This window comes from Homo sapiens, chromosome 20 (genome assembly GCF_000001405.40).
Source record: "Homo sapiens chromosome 20, GRCh38.p14 Primary Assembly".
Lineage (NCBI taxonomy): Eukaryota > Metazoa > Chordata > Mammalia > Primates > Hominidae > Homo > Homo sapiens.
The window spans coordinates 2,390,879-2,413,678 of NC_000020.11; the positions used below are offsets into that span (position 1 = coordinate 2,390,879).

Below are 22,800 nucleotides of genomic sequence, written 5' to 3' on the forward strand. Positions count from 1 at the left end.
AAGAGGGAGCCTGTCTGCAGATTCAAAGAGAAATAAGGAGATCAGTGTGGCTTAAAGGGATGAGAGAGGGGAAGAGAAACTGAAGGCCCAAAAAAGATATCAAAGTGCTCAATCTTGAAGGGCTTGTGGGTCATTGTCGGGACTTCAACTCTGCTGAGAGAGACAGGAACCAATGGAGAGCTTGAGAACAACGAGTGATCTTAGATTTTAACAGGATCCTTCTGGCTTCCATGTTGAGAATGAGCCCTGAGGATATGCGGGGGTGGGGGCACAGGGGAAGTGAAATAGGGAACCCAGTGAGCATGACAGCATCTAGAAAATGAAAGGGGCCATAGTACCTCCCTTAGGTGTATGTTAGGAGGCATAAGCACTTGAATACATACAAAGATTTTATTATTGTTGTTTGTGTTATCCCAAATCTAATAGCTGATTGGACAAAGGAGAGATGAACTCTGGTGGCAGGGCCGAGGCAGGAACATCTCAGAAGACAATCACAGGCACCCCAACCAGGAGGGGCCTTAGGAAAAGCACAAGGCAGGAAAGAGATATGTGCGACGTCGGGGCAGGAGGTTGTGGAGGTAGAGTCTGATGCAGCCAGTGCAAAGAGTAACTGAGCTGTGAGGGGGTGGGGGGTGAGCTGGAGGAGTGGAAAGCAATGGGATCCTGCCTAGTTCCTTGTCCAAGATGAAGGAGCTTGGACAGATCATAAGAGACAATGGGGCATCCAGTGGAGATTTGGGAGCAGATGTTTGACAAGATGAAGCAGCAGTTTCTTGGAACATCCCTTTGCTTACTAAAGCATCTCACCAGATATCTAATCAATCTTCCACATGGCACCAGAATGATCTTTCCAAGGTGCAAATCTGATTACATCACAGCTTTGCTTAAAACAATATTTGGCTGACTACGGCCCTTAGGATAAAAGGCAGACTCTTCATCCCACTCCAAGCATTGGTGGTCTGCCGACTATGGGCCCCTCCAACCTCATTGCCTTCCCCACACATCTGCTTTCTCTCAAATTTTAGAAGTCACCATGCTTCCTCCTGTCTCTCTGCCTAGCGCCATAGCTGCTGGCTAGAATTCAAGGCTGCACACATCCTGGTGTTTTAAGCTGTTGCTTATAGTACTCTGGCAAATAGTTTTGCTAATCTAACTACTTGAGTTTAGGTGTTCTCTGCTCCTGGGACTCCCAATGCCTCTCCCTTAGGGTTCATCTCAAAGCTTGACCCAAAAGGTTTGAGGTCTATCTGCTTAATGCCAGTCTTCTCCACTGGGCTATCAACTGCATGATGTCAGGGCCAGTGCGTATTTGATGGACTGTTGGGTCTGTAGCATCCAGCACAATGCCCAGCACGTGAATGAATGAACCCTGAATAGGGGAAGAGGATGCTTGGGCTGAGACTAGATCCAACACTCAACTCTTTCCTGGAGACACTCATCCAATTTAAGACTCAGCCTCAGTTCCGCCTTCTGGAGGAAGCCTTGCTTGTGCCCCTTCAGACTAGGCCAAGCCCTCTGTTAGTGTTCTTTCAGCTCCCATCCTTCTCCCTGATAGCATGTATCAAAGCAAGAATTAGTTATGTGGACTCACCTACTTAGGTGTCACCCCTGGAACATAATAAGTAACGATGATTGAGCTCTCATGTTACGAGGACTCTAAATGACAGGGGCCATTATCCTCACAATCACGCCACAGGCATTATTCCCATTCTGCAGAGCGGGGAACTGAGAGGCAGAGAGGTCAAGAAGGCGGGCCAGGAACAGTGGTCACGCCTGTAATCCCAGCACTTTGGGAGGCCAAGGCGGACAGATTGCTTGAGCTCAGGAGTTTGGGGCAACATGGCGAAACCTGGTCTCTACCAAAAATACAAAAAATTAGCTGAGTATGGTGGCATGTGCCTGCAGACCCAGCTACTTGGGAGGCTGAAATGAGAGGATCACTTGAGCCTGGGAGGCAGAGATTGCAGTGATCCGAGATTGCGCCACTGCACTCCAGCCTGGGTGACAGAGAGACACTCTGTTTCAGAAAAAGGAAGGTGCTTCAGCCAGTAGATGGCCAGGTTAGAATCTGAATCCATGTCAGCTGCCCCCAGAGGACCTCCTCATAACCATTGAGCCATACAGTCTCACCGCACCATGCATTGAGGGCAAGCCCACATCTATATACTCAGCACCAGACACCAGCCTGGCATAGAGATTATACAGTCCATCCTCAACACTTGTGGATTCTGTATATGCACGTTGCTAATATTTATTTTTAAAGCCAAAATCTATACTCTGCACTTTCTTGGCCATTCACAGACATGCACAGAGTGCGGAAAAATTGTCACCTGACCTGACATGCATATTCCCAGCTGAAGCTGAACAGGCAATATTCTGCCTCTTCATTTCAGCTGTCATACTATAAACAAATAACCTTTCTCTGTTCATTTAAAACTAGGGTTTTTTTTGCATTTTTGTGCTTTTTTTGTTGGTGATTTCTCTGTTTAAAATGGCCGCTGAGCATAGGACTGAAGTGCTGTCTCATGTTCCTAGGAGCAGGAAAGCTGCGACACGCCTTACACTAAAAATATGTGTTAGGTGAACATTCAGGCATGAACTATAGCGCTGCTGGCCACAAGTTCAATATTAATGAATCATCAATATATATTAAATTATGTTTGTTTGTTTTGAGAGGGAGAGTCTCGCTCTGTGGCCCAGGCTAGAGTGCAGTGGTGCAATCTGAGCTCACGGCAACTTCCACCTCCCGGGTTCAAGCGATTCTCCTGCTTGAGTGGCTGGGATTACAGGCACCCGCCACCACGCCTGGCTCATTTTTTGTATTATAGTAGAGATGAGGTTTCACCATGTTGGCCCCAGGGTGGTCTCGAGCTCCTGAGCTTAGGCAATCCGCCCACCTCGGCCTCCCAAAGTGCTAGGATTCCAGGCGCGAGCCACCACGCCCATCCTAATAATGTATCTTTAAACAGAAACGCACATATAATAAGGTTATATACTGATCAACTGATGAATAAGTTGGGACCAGAGGCTCACAGGAACCTAAACCTGTATTTATTTTCCCTAAGGGCAATGGGCCAGTTCTCATTAATTCAACCTTTGCAGTGATTTTACAGAACTTAATGACCAAGAGGCTGGGCAAGGTGCCTCACACCTGTAATCCCAGCACTGTGGGAGGCCAAGGCAGGCAGATCACCTGAGGTCAGGAGTTCGAGACCAGTTTGACCAACATGGCAAAACCCCATCTCTCCAAAAATATACAAAGAAATTACCCAGGTGTGGTGATGTGCACCTGCTAGTTCCAGCTACTCGGGAGGCTGAGGCACAAGAATTGCTTGAACCTGGGAGGCAGAGGTTGCGGTGAATTGAGATCACGCCACTGCACGCCAGCCTGGGTGATAGAGTGAGACCCTGTCTCAAAACAAACAAACAAACAAACAAACAGAGAATCGCCGGTATATGATAAATAGCAGCTGGATGAACAAATGACTGGCCGAGAATGAATGGGAGGACAAGCTCAGAGTGGGTGAGAAACAGGAGGCCGTGGCCTCATCTCCCTGTCCTCTCCCCACCCAGGGATCAGAGTCACCAAGGTGGACTGGCAGCGGTCGAGGAATGGCGCTGCCCACCACACCCAGGAGTACCCCTGCCCTGAGCTGGTGGTTCGCAGGGGCCAGTCGTTCAGCCTCACGCTGGAGCTGAGCAGAGCCCTGGACTGTGAGGAGATCCTCATCTTCACGATGGAGACAGGTAACTGGGCTTGCCAGCACCCTCTTCTCGTCTGCAGCTGGAGGGACCTGTCTTATGACTCAGTAACATAAGACCTTGCAGTCAGCAGCTCAGGCTCTGGGGGAAGCAAGTCACTGTAGGTAGACGGAGCCTTGAACCCTGGAGGCTTCTGGTGGCAGCTTTCTGGGGGTGGTTGGGAGGTGCTGCCAGCAGACAGTGGGATGGATGGGATGACCTCTCTGGAACCCTGTGTGTACCAGACACCCAGGGCTCTGGAAGGGTATGAAAACCCGTCAAGCACTTTGAAGCCCAAGCTTTTCTTTCCTTTCCTGGCCCGACATAGGCAGACTTTGGTTTCAAAGGATGCTGTCACTTTCTCCTTGGCCTGGAAGTGGCTGGGATGTCAGGGCAGCTGAGGTGGACCCTCACTTGGCCACTGGCCTTCTTGCTCTTTGTCAGGTCCTTCTCCCAAAGCCTCCCAGAAGTTCAGGGGGTGAAGGTGGGGCTTCCAGGCCTGTAGCTTTTTTCACTTCTCTAAAGCTGGGTTTCCCAGGGGAAGGGTCTCCTGATTCCCTCTCCTCTCCTCCAGGACCCCGGGCTTCTGAGGCCCTCCACACCAAAGCTGTGTTCCAGACATCGGAGCTGGAGCGGGGTGAGGGCTGGACAGCAGCAAGGGAGGCTCAGATGGAGAAAACTCTGACCGTCAGTCTCGCCAGCCCTCCCAGTGCTGTCATTGGCCGCTACCTGCTGAGCATCAGGCTTTCCTCTCACCGCAAACACAGCAACCGGAGGCTGGGCGAGTTTGTTCTCCTTTTCAACCCATGGTGTGCAGGTAGGAGTGGCCAAGTCCAATGCAGAGGTTTTTCCAAAAGACATCCTTAGAGGAGAGCCTGCCCTTGGAGGGGGCCTGGGAGGTGGGTTAAAGGACAAGAAGCTGAATGCCAAGAGCTGGGCAAGAACTTAGCCTAGGCAGAGGTAGGCAATGGTCAGAGAAACCTGGTAGCAGGTGCTTCAAAGCCTATGCCAGAGGACCCAGTGGGCAAGAGAGGCCCAGGGGTGGGTAAGAGCCAGGACTTGGGAATCAGACTGCCTTGGTTTAGTCCCAGCTGTGCTGAGCTGCTCTCCTCTACCAGTCTCCATTTCCTCATCTGTAATATGGGAAAAATAACAGTGCCTACCTCTTATGACTATGGTGAACACCCATAGGGCTAATACTTGTAATGTATGAGATACATCATAAGGCCTTAGTAAGGGGTGGCCAGGATCAGTATTATTATTAATATTTAAGAAATATGGCCGGGTGCAGTGGCTCACGCCTGTAACCCCAGCACTTTGGGATGCCAAGGCAGGGGGATCACCTGAGGTGGGGAGTTCAAGACCAGCCTGACCAACATGGAGAAATCCCGTCTCTACTAAAAATACAAAATTAGCCAGCTGTGGTGGCACACGCCTGTAATCCCAGCTACTCGGGAGGCTGAGGTAGGAGAATCACTTGAACCCAGGAGGTGGAGGTTGCAGTGAGCCAAGATTGCGCCATTGTACTCCAGCCTGGGCAACAAGAGCAAAACTCTATCTCAAAAAAAAAAAAAAAGAAAAGAAAATAAGAAAAAAAGAAGGAAATATGAGAAATATGAGGCTACTACTGACATCAAGGAGGCCCACCCAAAGCTGTCAGTTCCCATAAAACTCTTTTGGGATTGGTCCCTGCTTGGTTAAAGACTTGCCAGGAGGGATGGAGTTTGGCAGGGAGGCAGCACGGGAGCTCGCAAGCCCCCTCTTGACCTCTCCTGCCCCAGTCAGCCTCCGGGCGCTGCCCTGCTGCTGATCCCTGATGCAGCCCCTTCCCCAGGCCAGCAAGGCCAGAGCCCCAGTCCACACCGGGCCTGATGACTGCTTTTCAGAGGACGATGTGTTTCTGGCCTCAGAGGAGGAGAGACAGGAGTACGTGCTCAGCGACAGCGGCATCATCTTCCGAGGCGTGGAGAAGCACATACGAGCCCAGGGCTGGAACTACGGGCAGGTCTCCAGGGGCACAGGCCAGACAAGGATGTGGGCTGGGGCATGGGGAGGTCGGTGGGACTGGAGTCCCTCTGTCTGCTCACTCTTCTCAGGAGGGACAAGGGGGGCTCACTCCTAGAGAAAACCCACTCATTCATTCATTCATCTACTATTCACTGGGCCAGGGCCTGCACTGGGTCCTGGGGAAGGGGAGGTGCTTTGGACAAGGTTTGGACACAGAACAGGTCAGTATGGTTGTGGAAAAATGAATAGCTCTGATCAGTGGTTTTCAAACACGAGCGTACATCAGAATCCCAGGAGGGATGGCGTGCTGGACCCCACCCCCAGAGCTGCCGACTGAGTAGGTCTTGGGCAGGGCCTGAGAATGTGCGTTTCTAACCAGTTCCCAGGTGATGCTGATGCTGCTGGCCTAAGACCACACTTTAACAGCCACTGGCTTAGATAAGTAGTTCCAATACCAGGTGCAATAGGGGAAGGAAAAAGTCAGAATGATAGGGATGGAAGCAAAGGGAGTCCAGAAGAGGGTGAAAGGAACCTCCACTTCGGCCATTGTGGAGGCTTACGTGATATTGTAGTTGGGTCTCTACAGTGAGGCAGGATCTGCCCAGGCAGAGGGAAGAGCAGGCAGAGCCGCACGGACGTGGGAAGTAGGGAGTCTTGAGTCTGCTAGAGGAATTCTGTCTGCCTGAGCTCCAGGTCCCCGGTGGAAGAAAGACTGGACTTGACTGTCAGGCTGAGGAGTCACGCACTGCCCTGCAGGCCAGGGGTTTAAAGGCTTTGGGATTCGGGTGCTGGGCAGGGAAGTTATAGTGAAGAGTTTAGGGTCCACCTAAGGGGTAGCCACTACTCAGCACCCACTTTTTGTTGCCAGACCTTCCAAATTATCAGAGACCAGAAACCTAAATGTGTATGCAAAAATTCCCCAATTTTTAAATGTTGTTAACTAATTCAAATGTGTTTGAAAACATCATGTAGACCAAATGAGCATATCAGCGAGGTGGATGTGGCTCGAGAGCCTCCGATTTTAGCTCAGACTTTATTGTGGGTAGTCAGGAGCCACAGGAGATTGTTGAGCAGGGGAGAGACATGATTAAGGCTGAGGTTCTGATTCCCCAGGTGACTCTTTGAGGAAGGGTTTCCAAGACTAGGGGGTGCTCTGTGATGCCCCTGGTGGTTGGAGGGGGCAGCAAACTGCCCTGCACAGATGGGGTGACTGACCGGGTGAGGGCTGTGGGAGGGCCTGGAATATGGGTGACTGAACGCAGCCTCTAAGCACAGCCTCTCTGGGGAGCAGTTTGAGGAGGACATCCTGAACATCTGCCTCTCCATCCTGGATCGAAGCCCCGGTCACCAAAACAACCCAGCCACCGACGTGTCCTGCCGCCACAACCCCATCTACGTCACCAGGGTCATCAGTGCCATGGTGAGAAGCCCCTCCATCCCTGCACATGTACTTCCTCAAGGATCCCCCAGCCAACCCCGGGGCCACAACCTGTGATTCTTCCCATCACCCCTTGTTTTAATTCGCTGTTGTTGCAGAACCAACCACCCCAAAACTCAGTGGTGTAAAACAACCCTTTATTATGCTTACTGTTTTTTAGACTAGGAATTTGGGCAGGGCACCATGAGAATGGTTTGGTTCCACTCCAAGATGCTTCTTCTGGGGATATCTTAATGACTGCATATGTCTGGGATGGTTTAACAGGACCTCTGTCTGGGGCTTTGGTTCTGGTGGTTGGCAGTTCCTAGGTTGCCATCCATGTCATGTCTCCTGGAACTGGAATGTCCAGGATGGCTTCCCCACCCTCATGTCAGGTTCTGGGCTGGGGTGGCTGGAGCAGCTGGGACCCACCAGTCATCACTCTTTCTACACAACCTTTCCATGTGGCTAGCTTGGGCTTCCCCACAATATGGCAGTTTCATGCATAGCAATGGCTCCCCACCCCCACCTCCCTGCCCCAAGCAATTCTTCCAAGAAAGAGGAAGTGGAAGCTCCCAGTCTTATAAGGTCTAGGCCTGGAAACTGGCACAACATCAATTCCACCATAGTCAGTGGTCAAATTAGTCACAGGCCAGCCCAGACTCAAGAGGAACCCTCTTCTTGAGTGGGACATAGACCCACCTCTCCGTGGGAGGCATGACAACTTTAACCTATCACAGGCCTCAGGCTATGGTGTTTCCTCCCAAAAGGTGTCTGCAGGGCCCACCACCTCCCTCTACCACATGCAGGTATTAAGGTCAGTGGGTGGGTATCTGAGATTCCAAAATTGCACAAAGCTATATTTCTCCTATTTGATACTCTCAATTCCTCAAGACCTCAGAGAGCAGTTGGAGCACAGAGAATTAACATGAGTGACAATCCCAAACAGCAGAGCATCACAGCCCTGAGGACAGTGAAAGTCCTGAACTCAAGGCTCCCAAGTCCAAGTCCTAGACTCATGGATCACCACTTGGACTAACTTGCTGTGTGATTTGGGCAGGTCCCTGAATGCTTCTGAAGCTCAGTTTTTGCATCTGAAAAAAAAAAAAAAAAAGAATAATGAAACCTACATTGTAAACTTCAACAGGTTAATATAGTGTGCACAAAATTCTTGGCATAGTGGTGTCTGGCACACAATGAGCATTTAATAAATGTTAGCTGTCCCTATAATGATTATGCCAACAGTCCCCCAAAACAGATCATTTAACATAGGAAATGCTCTAAAGTTGTAATGATTTTTACAACACAGTATCCAAATGGAAGATAATTGAAAATGACAAGTGCTACCAGGAAGTAGGTATTTTAAGGCAACAGATGCCCCTAATTTTCAGACAGTTAAAAAGCAAGAGTGACCCCGATGGACCTGGTGGTCCAAAGTTGGACAGGATTTGACCACGATGCGGTTCTTGAGGTAGGAAGCCCTGCCTGGTTGTGGACCCGTGCCCTCCTCTGCCCAGGTGAACAGCAACAACGACCGAGGTGTGGTGCAAGGACAGTGGCAGGGCAAGTACGGCGGCGGCACCAGCCCGCTGCACTGGCGCGGCAGCGTGGCCATTCTGCAGAAGTGGCTCAAGGGCAGGTACAAGCCAGTCAAGTACGGCCAGTGCTGGGTCTTCGCCGGAGTCCTGTGCACAGGTACCCTGGGAGAGAAGGGCCCCAGGGTACCTGTGCCCCCAGCTTCCTCTATCTAAATGTATTTACATATATTTGCATATGCTGCAACCCATCTTCATTGATGGATTCATTGACAGGGAGAACGAAGTCTGGCTGATGAAGAGAGAAGCCAGAGAATTTATTTCCTTCATATCTGATCTTTTATCTTGAAGGAGTCCTAGCTCCCTCTGTCTCTCATTCATTGAGTGCCTTGGGCGAGCCCTGCGGCTCCCTTGGCCTCCAGTCCCCTCAGGAAGATGAGGGCTCTATTAGGTGGCTTCCAAGTTCCTGCCAGCCTCAAAGCCTGTCTACTTACATGAGGTGGCAACAGCATATCCTGAAGTCCTTGAGAGAACGTGCAGGAGATGGTGGCATTTCTGAGAGTGGAGATGGGAGTCTCAGCCCCACAACCTGATGAACTAGACACACAGACAAAGATGGGGTGGCAGAGGGCTTTGGCCACAAATGAGCCAGGGCGCCTGCTGTGGAAGCCAGGCCCCTCTCTCAGGGGCCAGGGTCCCGCCTGCTCCGAGCCTCTCTGCTCTGCAGTCCTCAGGTGCTTGGGGATAGCCACACGGGTCGTGTCCAACTTCAACTCAGCCCACGACACAGACCAGAACCTGAGTGTGGACAAATACGTGGACTCCTTCGGGCGGACCCTGGAGGACCTGACAGAAGACAGCATGTGGTGGGTCCTGCCCCCAGCCTAGGCCCGAGGGCTCTGGAAGCCCAGCAGGTGGAGCAAGGCCTCATCTTCCATAACACCACCAGGGAGCGGCAGGCCCAGAGCCCAGCTCTCCTGAATCTGAGCCGGCTCTGGAGGGAGTGAGAGGCGCCCTGCGGATAGTGGTGCCTCTTCCAAGATGTAAGGTCTGAGGTCAAGAGATGTAGACTCAGAGGTCAGGAGGGGCCTCAAGATTTGATTGCCTTGAACGCCCGGTTCTACTCTGTCTGGGAATCTGTGGCTTCCTGGGGTGGGGTGGGGTGGGAACTCCTTCTGCACAGGTACCTCTGGATCAGGCTCCTGCTTCCGTATCAGCTGCGGTTCTCCGTGTTGTGTGTCTCAGGTGGGAAACAGACTCCTTCCTTAGCTAAAACAAAATTCTTCACATAAAGCTTTAAAAAATTCATTCCAGGCCAGGCACGGTGGCTCACACCTGTAATCCCAGCTACTCAGGAGGCTAAGGCAGGAGAATTGCTTGAACCCAGGAGGCAGAGGTTGCAGCGAGCTGAGATCACACCATTACACTCCACCCTGGTCAACATAGTGAAACCCCATCCCTACTAAAAACACAAAAATTAGCCAAGCATCGTGGCAGGCGCCTGTAGTCCCAGCTACTCTGGAGGCTGAGGCAGGAGAATCGCTTGAACCTGGAAGGCAGAGGTTGCCTCTGTGAGCCAAGATCATGCCACTGCGCTCCAGCCTGGGTGACAGAGTGAGACTTCGTCTCAAAAAAAAAAAAATTCATTCTAACTTACTTAATTTTCTGAAATAGGAAAAACATTCATGTGGTTTAATATTTGAAAGGTACAAAATGGGTTGCAGTGATGTCTCCCTCCCGCCCAGTTCCCCAGCCTCCCCATCCTCCTCCTGGAGGCAACACTATCACTGTCTGCTACATCTCCTGTCAGAGAGATGCTCTGCAGACACGAGCACATACATACCTACAGTGCCTCCCCGCCTTTTCCCTGCTTAAACAGTATTGGCAGCTTTATGTGATACTGTTCTTGCTGGAACATTTAACAATTCCACGTAAATACACAGAGTTTTCCTTATTTTCCATAATGTTTTAAGTAATAACGTAACACCCACCAAGCACCTAGTCTGTGCCAGGTCCAGTTCTAAGTGCTATATATAGATTAACTCATGTATTTCTTCAAACAACCTGTGAATAAGTTAAGATCATTGATTCTATTTCGCAGATGAGGAAACTGAAGCACAGAGAGGTTAAGTAACCCATCCAAGGCCACACAGCTAGTGAGTGGAAGCATAAGGGTATGAACCCAGTCTGCCTCTCAATTGCATGAAAAAGCCATTGTTCATCTAACCATCCCATATGGATGGACATTTCAGTTGCCTCAGTTAAAAACAAGTTTGCCTTTACAAACAAGGCTTCAGTGAATAACCTTGTTCAAATGTCTGTTCACACATGTGCAAGTCTGCCACTCAAAGCCAACTTTCTAAAGATTAGGAGAGATGGCTGGGCGCGGTGGCTCGCACCTGTAATCCCAACACTTTGGGAGGCCGAGGCTGGCAAATCACTTGAGGTCAGGAGTTCGAGACCAGCCTGGCCAACACGGTGAAACCCCATCTCTACTAAAAATAAAAATTAAAAAAAATTAGCCGGGTGTGGTGACACACACCTCCCCAGCTACTGGGGAGGCTGAGGCGTGAGAATCACTTGAACCTGGGAAGCGGAGGTTGCAGTAAGCCAAGATTGTGCCATTGCACTCCAGCCTAGGTGACAGAGCAAGACTCTATCTCAAAATAAATAAATAAATAAAAATTAAAAAATAAAGATTAGGAGAGACAGTGAAGAAAACACAACACAGAGACACAGAGAGCCTTGTATCCTTGTTCCCCAGGGGAGCGTGCCAGGAGCCCTTCCCGAGCTGGCCTCCAGCTCAGACCATCTCTTTGCTCCCCTTGGCCTCTCCTCTTTTTTGGTTCTCTTCATTCCCTTGCCCTGGAAGCACAAAATACTCGCATTCTTCTCTTTTCTTCATGCAGAAAGCACAGACACTTCATTTTGATGTTGGGGACTCTGTCACCACCCAGGTTATCAGGGTCCCACCTTTAATCCCCAAATGCTAATCAACATACTTTCCCCAACAAAAACAGTTGCCTGCCGAAGAGGAGTTCTGAGGCCGGCTGTAAAGATGCCAAGTCAGGCAAACCGGGAATCAGGTTTCTGTCTGCTCCTTTCTTTCTGCAAGACCTTGAGCAGGTGATGTCATGTTTCCTACTCATATTCTCATCTTTAACACGGGGAATTAAAAATAAGGCTGGAATTACCAGAGTCTATGGTGCTCTGCATAATCAGAACCCTACCTACCCCCTCTGCTGGCCATATCCCAGAGATACTTAAATACTTTCTGCTCCTTGAACACACAAGGCCTTTTCTTGTCTCACTTAGGACCTTTGCACATGCTGTTCCTTCTTTCTAGAATATTGTTCCCTTCACTCTTCCTATAGCTTATTCTTTCTCACTGAAGTCTCACCTTCAATGTCATTTACCTAGAGTAGGTCTATAGGGGTTGTTCTCTAGCTTAAGCCCCTCTTTTTCTTCCTAACATTTATTGTCACTTGCATTTGTTTGATTTATCTGCTGACTTAGCTTTGCCTGTCTCCTTTGTTAGAATGTAAGCAGCATGAGAGTAAAGATCTTCTGTCTTAGTTGCAGTACCTTGAACAACAGGTTCTTGATAAATGTACACACACATCTATATACACACATACACATATATATACAAACATATGTGAATGCTGTGTGCTCATTCATGTGGTTGAATGAGTGATTCACAACATGCAGCCACAGTTCTTGTGGAAAGTAGGGAGCCCAGGGCCTGCCTCTCAGTAGGATCTTCCCTTCCTATGCCCTCACTCTAGGCAGCTTCACCCATCCTCTCTCTGTGGCAGGAATTTCCATGTCTGGAATGAGAGCTGGTTTGCCCGGCAGGACCTAGGCCCCTCTTACAATGGCTGGCAGGTTCTGGATGCCACCCCCCAGGAGGAGAGTGAAGGTACGCTCAATTGGGTGGGGTAAGTTCCAGACCCCTGCTTTTCCTTACCCATGCTGCTCATGCCCACCCCTCCTGCCCAGGTGTGTTCCGGTGCGGCCCAGCCTCAGTCACCGCCATCCGCGAGGGTGATGTGCACCTGGCTCACGATGGCCCCTTCGTGTTTGCGGAGGTCAACGCCGACTACATCACCTGGCTGTGGCACGAGGATGAGAGCCGGGAGCGTGTATACTCAAACACGAAGAAGATTGGGAGATGCATCAGCACCAAGGCGGTGGGCAGTGACTCCCGCGTGGACATCACTGACCTCTACAAGTATCCGGAAGGTAAGGGCCACATGGCGGCCTTTATTACCTTCCCCCGGATGGCCCATCAGCTGCAGAGGGCCCACTGCAGGTGGCCTGGAGCCAGGCCTCACCCCATGTATATGACGCTGACAGCAGCTTCCATTCACGTTGTCTCTGTGCTCTGAGCCAAGTGCCTTTATTTAGGCTACATTAATAGCTTCCTCTGTTTGCTAAGCACCTCTTCTACCTTAGAAGATTTCCCATTTGTAATAATAATAGCTACATCTCCTTGAACACTTGCCATATACCAGGCACTGCATTAGGTATGTTCACATACAATAATCACTACTAGTAACAATAATGATGATAGTAGCAGGTATTATTTATTGAACACCTAGGACAAACGCATGGCACAGGCCCAATTCAGACTAATAATAATAGCATCTCCTGTTTAGCATCTGCCAGGGCCTGTGCCGTGATACCAATTTATGGCCATTGGTTCATTGAAGAGCCCCTACTTGTTAGGCTACAAAAACAAAACAGTTGTATTTTTTCTTATAGCTGTTTCCAACTATATACTTTAAAAATCTCCCTTTCCCACTGTGTAACAGGTTCCTTAGCAATGTTATGATCTGATTAACATATTTTCAACCATTTCTGCTTGTTAAATCCATGTCACCAAGTAATTATGACTTCAAGCTCAAACTTGAATTAGACCCTGTCTCCTCCTGTCCCCTGAGCACAAGCTAGAGCAGTGACCCTGGAAGGTTGCTAAAGAGGAGACACAATCTGCTCTGAACACCTCCTCGCCTCCCTTTTCTGCTCTCTAGCATCATATTTTACAGCTCTGGTTGCACTTTTTTTTTTTTCTTTGAGACAGAATCTCACTCTTGTTGCCCAGACTGGAGCGCAATAATGTGATCTCAGCTCACTGCAACCTCCGCCTCCTGGGTTCAAGCAATTCTCCTGCCTCACCCTCCCAAGTAGCTGGGATTACAGGTGCCCGCCACCATGCCCAGCTAATTTTTGTATTTTTAGTAGAGACGGGGTTTCACCATGTTGGCCAGGCTGCCCTTGAACTCCTGACCTCAGGTGATCTACTCACCTCAGCCTCCCAAAGTGCTGGGATTACAGGCATGAGCCACTGCACCTAGCCCCTTGTTGCACATTTGAATTATCCAGGGAGCTGTTTCAGTTATATATCTTAAACAATAATTACTTATTTGGTCAATTCTGTGGGTCAACAATTTGGGCTGTGCTCAGCTGGGATGGTTCATCTTCTCCAGGTGGTGCTGGCTGGGATCTCACATATGTCTGTCACGTGGGACTGCTGAGATGGCTGGGTCTGTGTTCCCACTCGGCCTCTCATGTCCCAACAGGCCAGCCCATGCTTTTCTGAATAGCAGCAACATTCCCAGAAGGTGAGAGATGAAGCTGTGAGGTTTCTAGAGGCCTGGCTCAGAATGTGCACCATGTCACTTCTGCCACATTCTATTGGTCAAAGCAATTCATGAGCCCAATCCAGATTCAAGGGGTGGGAAGTTGTAAGGCATTATGGCCATTTTTAATCTACCACAGCAGGCCAGATTCCACCCCTGACTAATTGAATCATAGTCTCTACGGGATGTGGTTTTGGCACTGGGACTTTTTAAAGCTCCCAGGTGGTCTCTAGTGTGCAACCAATGCTGAGAGCACTGTTAGGCTAAGAGGGAGGCAAAGAGGACAGAAGAGAGCAGATGCCTTTGTCTTAACTGGGTGAGGATTCAGTGCTGGCTAAGTGGGTGGGTGCTGCTGCCCTAGTTTCCTATCTATGCTTGCTGAGGACAGATGGTGGCTCCATCACAACCTGCTGCCATCCAGACTAATTCCTGTGCTGTTCCTCTAGACACTGCTGATTTCTTGTGCTATTTGGGTCCTTTCAACACAGCTTCTTTCTGATGCATGGTGATTTTTGTCCCCAAGTTCTGCAGAGGTTTTACAAGGCTGTGGCCCCCAACCCTAACCTCCACTGTGTCCCACTCCAAGGCTGGGAACTGAAACCTGACACTTGTGGGTAGAAGGAGCAGTCTTGACTGGCTGTCTCCCACCTGCTGTCTCCCTTCAATTCTCTTCTCCCTGCTCAGGTAGTACATGGCTTAGTAAGTAAGACGGGATAAACAGACCTCCCACAGGGAGGAGAATACCAACTTCCCTTTCTGTAGGCACCCCCAATCTTGATCAGCCAGTCATTTCTTGCTGAAGATACCCCCAAACCTTAACACTGATTCTTTTAAACACCTACTCACACCCCCAACTCACACTTTAGCTCCTATCTCCAGGAACATGGCACTTTCTTGACTGTCAAAGACATCTTCCACTTTAGCTGTCTTCTTACTGTCTTGGGGATGGGCTATGGATGAGGGGACTATGTGGTAAGGCCTCTTCTGAGCTGCCACCTCTCTGATAAGACCTGCAGATTGATTGCTGGGTCCCTTCAGCTGGGAGCTTCTGGAACTTAGAACGTGGGGTCTAGCCTGGGCAACATGGCAAAACCCCATCTCTATAAAAAATACAAAAGAATTAGCCAGGCATGGTGGCATATGCCTGTAGTCCCAGCTACTCAGGAGGCTCCAGTGGGAGGAATGCTTGATTCTGGAAAGCAGAGGTTGCAGTGAGACAAGATTGTGCCACTGCACTCCAGCCTGGGCAACACAGTGAGACCCTGTCTCAAAAAAAAAAAAAAAGTACATGAGGTCTGTGGGTCTTTTGTCCTAAGATTTAACTATGACCAGCTGGGTGCAGTGGCTCACACCTATAATCCCAGCACTCTGGGAGGCCGAGGCAGGCAGATCACCTGAGGTCAAGAGTTCGAGACCAGCCTGGCCAACATGGCGAAAACCCGTCTCTACTAAAAATACAAAATTAGCCAGGCATGGTGGCCCATGCCTGTAATCCCAGCTACTTGGGAGGCTGAGGCAGGAGAATTGCTTGAACCTGGGAGGCGGAGGTTGCAGTGAGCCAGGATCGCACACTGCACTCCACCCTCAGCAACAAGTGCGAAACTCCTCAAAAAAAAAAAAAAAAAAAAAAAAAAAAAAAAAAACCATGGCCACAGGAGAAATTAACATCCTGTTACATGATAACAGTGATGACAATCACTGTTACTGAGCGCTGGCTGTGGGCTGGCCATTTTCACATGTTATGTAGTCATTTTATTTAACAAATGTTTACAAAGCCCTTACCATGAGCTTTTAAGTGAGACACTAGTACAAAGTTTATTTTACAGAGGAGAAGACAGATGTACAGAGAGGCAAGTTGACCCAGCCAGAGAACATAGCTAGTAAGGGAGAACTCTCCTGCAGAACCCAGAGCCCATGCTCCTCACTCTGCACTGCACTGCCACTATTTAATTATAATATTGTCTACTGTTTATTGACTGCCTACTGTGGGCAACGTGATTTTACATTTAGGTTAACAAAAATAATAGTAACAGTATCTAGAACTTGCTAAGCAAAATGGTAAGCAATGTCCAAGCATTATTTCATTTAATATTTATTTTAAAATCATTTTATGAGCCAGGCATGGTGGCTCACGCCTGCAATCCCAGCACTTTGGGAGGCCAAGGTGGGCAGATCATCTGAGGTCAGGAGTTCAAGACTAGCCTGGCCAACATGGCGAAACCCCATTTCTACTAAAAATACAAAAATTAGCTGGGCGTGGTGGTGGTTGCCTGTAGTCCCAGCTGTTCAGGAGGCTGAAGCAAGATAATTGCTTGCTGTCAGGAGGCGGAGGTTGCAGTGAGCAGAGATTACGTCACTACACTCCAGGCTACAGAGCGAGACTCTGTCTCAAAAAATAAAATAAAATCATTTTATGGATAAGCAAACTGAGGTACAGGGAGGTTAAGTAACTTCCCCAAGTTTCCAAAGCCCAGAAGAGCTGGAATTCTAACGAGGCAGTCTACTCTTAGGGCCTCTGCCCTCCCTGCTATGCTAGACTGCACATCTTCGCTGAGTGGCCTTGGTGTGCCATACAGCATGCTAGGCTTTTTCATGTGCTCTCAAAGTAGAGACCCTCCTGAGTGTCAGGCATGATTCAGAGGCAAGGGGACAAAGAGAAGTCCCCAGAGAACTCACCACATGGTGAGCTGACAGCACAGAATAATTCGGAGTGACTGGCACTCTACTGGGGCATCCAGAGGCTAAAGGAACAAAGAGGAGGAGTCTCTAATTCGACCAGGGCAGAAGGTATCAGGAAAAGCAGCCTATGGGAGGGAATGCTGAAGGGAGTAAGATTTAGCCAGGAGATGAAAGGTTGAGAAGGCATTCCAGGAAGACAGAGTCCAACAGGATTCCAGACTCATGCTGGGCAATATTGCTCAGGCAAGCCAAGACATCCTTGACTTGCATGAGCAGTATTCTATAGATGAAATGACAGGGGCTTGTGCCTCTCTGAGTCATGAGCCCTTGCTCTGTCTGTGGAACCAGGACACATGCTAGAGCTAGAGCACAAAGATTCAGAGCCCCTGGGTACAACATGCTCTTTTATACCTAAAGGACTTGGCACAAGATGCTTTCTTTGCCTGGGAAGGACCTGCTGACTTCACCCCAAACTTTTGCCTGGCCAGGGGTCTCAGCACCCTATTGACTTCCTTCTAAGCACATATCGCAACTTGATATTTGCTTGAATCTTTGTTGTCTCCCTAGAATGCTCCTAGACTGAGAGTTCTAGGATGGCAGGAAGCCTGACTGTTTTGTTCATTGCCGTATCCCCAACTCCTACAGCAGCATCAACTGCATAGTAGGTGCTCAGTACAGATTCACGGAATGAATGAATTGGGGCCAACAGCATATGAAGGGCTTTTAATGCCATAAGGAGTCTGAGCTGTATCAAGAAGGGCCTTGTTTTGTTGATTGCAGGACTGGCTTATGTGAAGCTACAGGACATATAAGCCACATTTTCACATTTTTTTCTATTGGCATGTGTTTATTGAGCATTTACTGAGTGCCAGGCAACCAGTGAACAAAATGCGTATGATCTTTATCTTAAAGGATAAAGGAGCTGACATTCTAGTGGGGCAGGTAAAAGTAAACAAATAAGTAAAATAACTAGTATTTCAGATACTGATAAGTATTTTGGGGAAAAATAAAGAAGGGAAAGAGTTTAGGGACTGGTTGAGAGGAAGCGAACATTTGTCATTTAAAATCAGGTAGACTCTAACAGACGCCTATAGAAGACTCCACATTATAGCAGCAACATATACACATTCTTGGAAAGTAGAAGGGTAGCATTATCCAGAATTGACCATATGCTCAGCCATAAAATAAGCCTCAGTAAACTTAAGAGGATTGAAATCATACAAAGTGTATAATCTTATTCCAATAGAATTAAATTAGAAATCAGTATCAGAAGAGAATTTGATACATTTATAATATGTGAAAATTAAACAATACATACGTCTAAATATCCAGTGAGCCAAAGGAAAGATCACAAGTCAAATTAGAAAATACTCTGCAGTGAAAGAAAATGAAAATGCAATATGCCAAAATTTATAAGATGCAGCTAAAGCAGTACACAGTGGGGAATTTATAGCCGTAAAACCTATATTAAAGAAGAAAGATTTCAAATCAATAGCCTAATCTTCTACCTTAAGAACCTAGAAAAATGGCTGGATGTGGTGGCTCACGCCTATAATCTCAGCATTTTGGGAGGCCGAGGTGTGCAGATCACCTGAGGTCAGGAGTTCGAGACCAGCCTGGCCAACATTGGGAAACCCTGTCTCTACTAAAAATACAAAAATTAATTGGGTGTGGGGGCATGCACCTATAGTTCCAGCTACTCGGGAGGCTGAGGCAAGAGAATCACCTGAACCTGGGAGGCGGAGGTTGCAGTGAGCCGAGATCAGGCCACTGCACTCCAGCCTGGATCACAAAGCGAGACTGTCTCAAAAAAAAAAAAAGAACCTAGAAAAAGAAGAGCAAACTAAACACCTAAAAAAGCAGAAAGAGGAAACAAGAAAGATTAAAGTGGAAATAAATGTTAATGAAATAAAGAGCAGAAAAATCATAAAAGAAAATCAACAAAACCAGTTGATTCTTTGAAAAGACTGACAAAATTGATAAACCTTTAGCTAGACTAAGAGAAGAATCAAATTACTAAAATTAGAGAGGATGTCACTACCAACCCTACAAAAATGAAAAGAACTATAGAGTGTGGTTTTTAAAGAAAAGTATTTGGTTATCATCCCCAGTTTCTGGCACACAGCTCCTAAAACTCTTGGAGTCTTCAGAATGAGAAGAGCATCAGCTATATAGCACATTAGTGAGATGACTAGGGGCATCTAGATCACTTTCAGCATGGGGGCTGGTTGCCTGAAAAATCAAGGCATGATTAGGGATTGGGGACTTTAAACCCCATCTCTGACCTCCAGGGAGGGGAGAGAGGCTGAAGATTGAGTTTATCACCTAAGGCCTATGATTTAATCAGTCATGCCTATGTAATGAAACTCTGTAAAAACTGCTAAACAATGGGGTTTGGAGAGGTTCCAGGTTGGGGAAGACATTGAGGTGCTGAGAGGGTGGCATGCTTAGAGAGGAGATGGAAACCCCACACCACCCCTGCCCCCTGCCATACCTTGCCCTGTGTATCTCTCCCACTTGGCTCTTCCAGAGTTATATCCTTCATAACAAACCAGGAATGGTAAGTAAACTGTTTTTCTGAGTTCTGTGAACCCCTCTAGCAAATTATGAAACCTAAGGCTGGGGCCAGTTATGAGAACCCCAAATCTGTAGCAAAGTTGGACAGAAGTGTGAGTAACCCCGAGTAACCAACACTTGTGACTGGAGTCTGAAGTCTCAGTCTTGTGGGACTGAGCCCTTCAACGTGTGGAGTCTGATGCTAACTCCAGGTAGCTACTGTTAGAATTGAATTGAACTGAATTGAACTGGAGACCCAGTTGGTGTCCAGAGAGTTGGAGAACTGGTTGTTATGAGAAACCCCCACACTTTTAGAGTCAGAATTGCTATAATTAATGACAGTTTATTAGGGGATACTATGAGCAACTGCGTGACAACATATTAGATAACTTTAGATTAAATGGGTAAATTTCTAGAAAGACACTTTCTTACCAAAACTATCTCAAAAAGAAATAGAAAATCTGAATAGATTCACAACAAGTAAAAAACTAGTAATAGTTCATAATGAACTAGTAATATGAAAACTTCCCACAAAGAAATAATCAGGCCCAGATTATGTCACTGGTGAATTCTACCAAATATTAAAAGAACTAATATCAATTATTCATGAATTATTCCAAAAAGTAGAAGATGAGGGAATACTTCTCAACTCATTCTGTGAAGTCAGTATTATCCTGATACCAAAACCAGATGACATCAGAAGAAAAGAAAACTACATATCTATCTCCCTTATGAATGTGAAAGCAAAAATCAACAATGAAAGCAAAAATTCATGAATATGGAATGAATTCAGCTTACTGATAAACTGAATTCAGCAACATATAAAAAAGATTATATGCCATGAGCAAGTGGGATTTATCCCAAGAATACAAGATGGGTTTAACATTGAAAATCAGCTAATATAATACACCGTATCAATAGAAAAAAGGACAAAATAACATGATCATCTCAATAGATGCAGAAAAAGCATTTGACAAAATCTCATACCCCTTTATGATAAAAAAAAACACTCAACAAATTAAGAATAGAAGTAAACTTCCTCAGTCTGATAAGTCACCTATAAAAAAGCTACAGCTAAAATGATACTTAATAGTGAAACGTTGAACATTTACACCCCAAAATCAGGGACAAGACCAAGATGTCCTTTTTTGTCATGTTGATTCGTCATTTTTATGGAAGTACTAGCCAGGGAAATTAAGCAAGAAAAAGAAATAGATATCTTTTTTAAAATTGTATTGGGAAAACTGGATATCTATGTGCAAAAGACTGAAGTTAGACTCTTACATTATATAGAAAAATTAACTGAAAATGGATCAAGGGTCTAAATGTGAGAGCTAAAATTATAAAACTCTTAGAAAAAAACATAGGAGAAAAGTTTCATGATGTTGGATTTGGCACTGATGTCTTGAATATGTTGCCAAAATATTAAAAATAGAATTATCATACAATCCAGCAATTCAGCTTCCAGGTATATGCCCAAAAGAATTGAAAGCAGGACCTCGAAGAGATATTTGTACACCCATGTTCAGAGCAGCATTATTCAAAGTAGCCAAAACATCTATAGCCATACCACCCTGAATACGCCCAATCTCATCAAAATGGCCAAAAGGTGAAAGCAACCCAAGTGTCCATCACTGAATGAATGAATAAACAAAATGTGGTATATACATACAATGGAATATTATTTAGCCTTAAAAAGAAAGAAAATACCAACAAATGCTGGAACACAGAAGAAACTTGAGGACATTATGCTAAGTGAAATAAGCCAGACATAAAAGAACAAATATTCTATGAGGCCGCTTATATCTATGAAGTACCTAGAGTAGCCAAACTCATACAGACAGAAAGTAGAATGGTGGTTGTCAGGGGCTAAGATCTGGGGAGAATGGGCATTATTGTTTAATAGGTATAGAGTTTCAATCAAGATGAAAAGAGCTCTGGGTAGATGGTAGTGATGGTTACACAACAATATGAATGTACTTAATGACACTGAAGTATACACTTAAAAATGGTTAAGATGGTAAATTTTATGTTATGTATTTTATCACAATTTTTAAAATAGAAAGAAGACAAAAGAAGAGAGGGAGGAAGACAGGGAGGGAGAAATGGAAACAGAGAAATTTCCAAATTGGAAAGAAATTTGCACATGACATAATTTTGTATATATAAAATCCTAAGGAATCCATTAAAAAGCTATTAGAAATGATAAACAAGTTCAGCAAGTTTGCAGAACACAAGATCAATATACAAAAATTAATCAGATTTCTAGATACTGGCAATGGATAATCCAAAAATGAAATTAAGAAAATAAATCCATTTACAATAGCATCAAAAAGAATAAAGTACTTAGGAATAAATTCAACAAAAGAAGAGCAAGACTTACATGCTAAAACTACAAAACATTGTTGAAAGAAATTAATGATCTAAATAAATGAAAAGGCATCCCATTTTCATTGATCGAAAGGGTTTATATTGTTAAAATTGCAATACTCTCAAAATTGACCTACAGACTCAACAAAATCCTATCAAAGTTACAGCTGAGTTTTTTTCCCCCAAATTAGCAACCTGATCATAAAATTCATTTGGAAACACAAGGGAACCCCAAATAGCCCAAATAATCTTGAAAAAGAAGTTGGAGGGCTCATACTTCCCAAATTCAAAACTTACTACAGCCAGGCATGGTGGCTTATGTCTGTGATCCCAGCACTTTAGGAGGCCAAGTCAGGAGACTCCCTTCAGTTCAGGAAATCTCCCTTCAGGCCAGCTGGGCAACATGGACGACTTCATCTCTACAAAAACTTTTAAAAATTAGCTGAGTGTGGTGGCATGGCTACCAGCTACTCAGGAGGCTGAGGTGGGAGAATTGCTTGAGCCTGGGAGGTTGAGGTTGCAATGAGCCATGATTGCACCACTGTACTCCACCCTGGGTGACAGAGTGAGATTCTGTCTCAAAAATAAACAGACAAGACAAAAATTACAACAGATATACAGTAACCCAGACAGTGTGATACTGGCATGAGAATGGACATATAGATCAAAGAAACTGAACTGAGAGTTGAAAAATAAACCCTTAAAATTATGATCAATTGATTCTACAAGCGTGTCAAGACAATTCAATGGAGAAAGAATAAGAATAGTCTTTTCAACAAATGGTGTTGGGACCACTGTACATCCCCACATGCAAAAGAATGAAGTTGTTATACCCCACTGGTTACATGAA

The 22,800-nt window shown here is 46.6% G+C and overlaps 1 protein-coding gene across 2 annotated transcripts in view; it reads left to right on the forward strand.

Annotated features, from left to right (window-relative positions):
* TGM6 (transglutaminase 6) overlaps positions 1–22,800 on the forward strand; it is a 51,853-nt gene that overhangs the window by 9,978 nt on the left and 19,075 nt on the right. For both annotated transcript variants that reach the window (NM_198994.3, NM_001254734.2), the window contains exons 2-9: positions 3,574–3,747; positions 4,316–4,558; positions 5,628–5,746; positions 7,040–7,168; positions 8,683–8,860; positions 9,428–9,566; positions 12,519–12,622; positions 12,703–12,945. In NM_198994.3, the coding sequence (NP_945345.2) occupies positions 3,574–3,747; positions 4,316–4,558; positions 5,628–5,746; positions 7,040–7,168; positions 8,683–8,860; positions 9,428–9,566; positions 12,519–12,622; positions 12,703–12,945 (1,329 nt within the window). The remainder of the gene's footprint in view (positions 1–3,573; positions 3,748–4,315; positions 4,559–5,627; positions 5,747–7,039; positions 7,169–8,682; positions 8,861–9,427; positions 9,567–12,518; positions 12,623–12,702; positions 12,946–22,800) is intronic.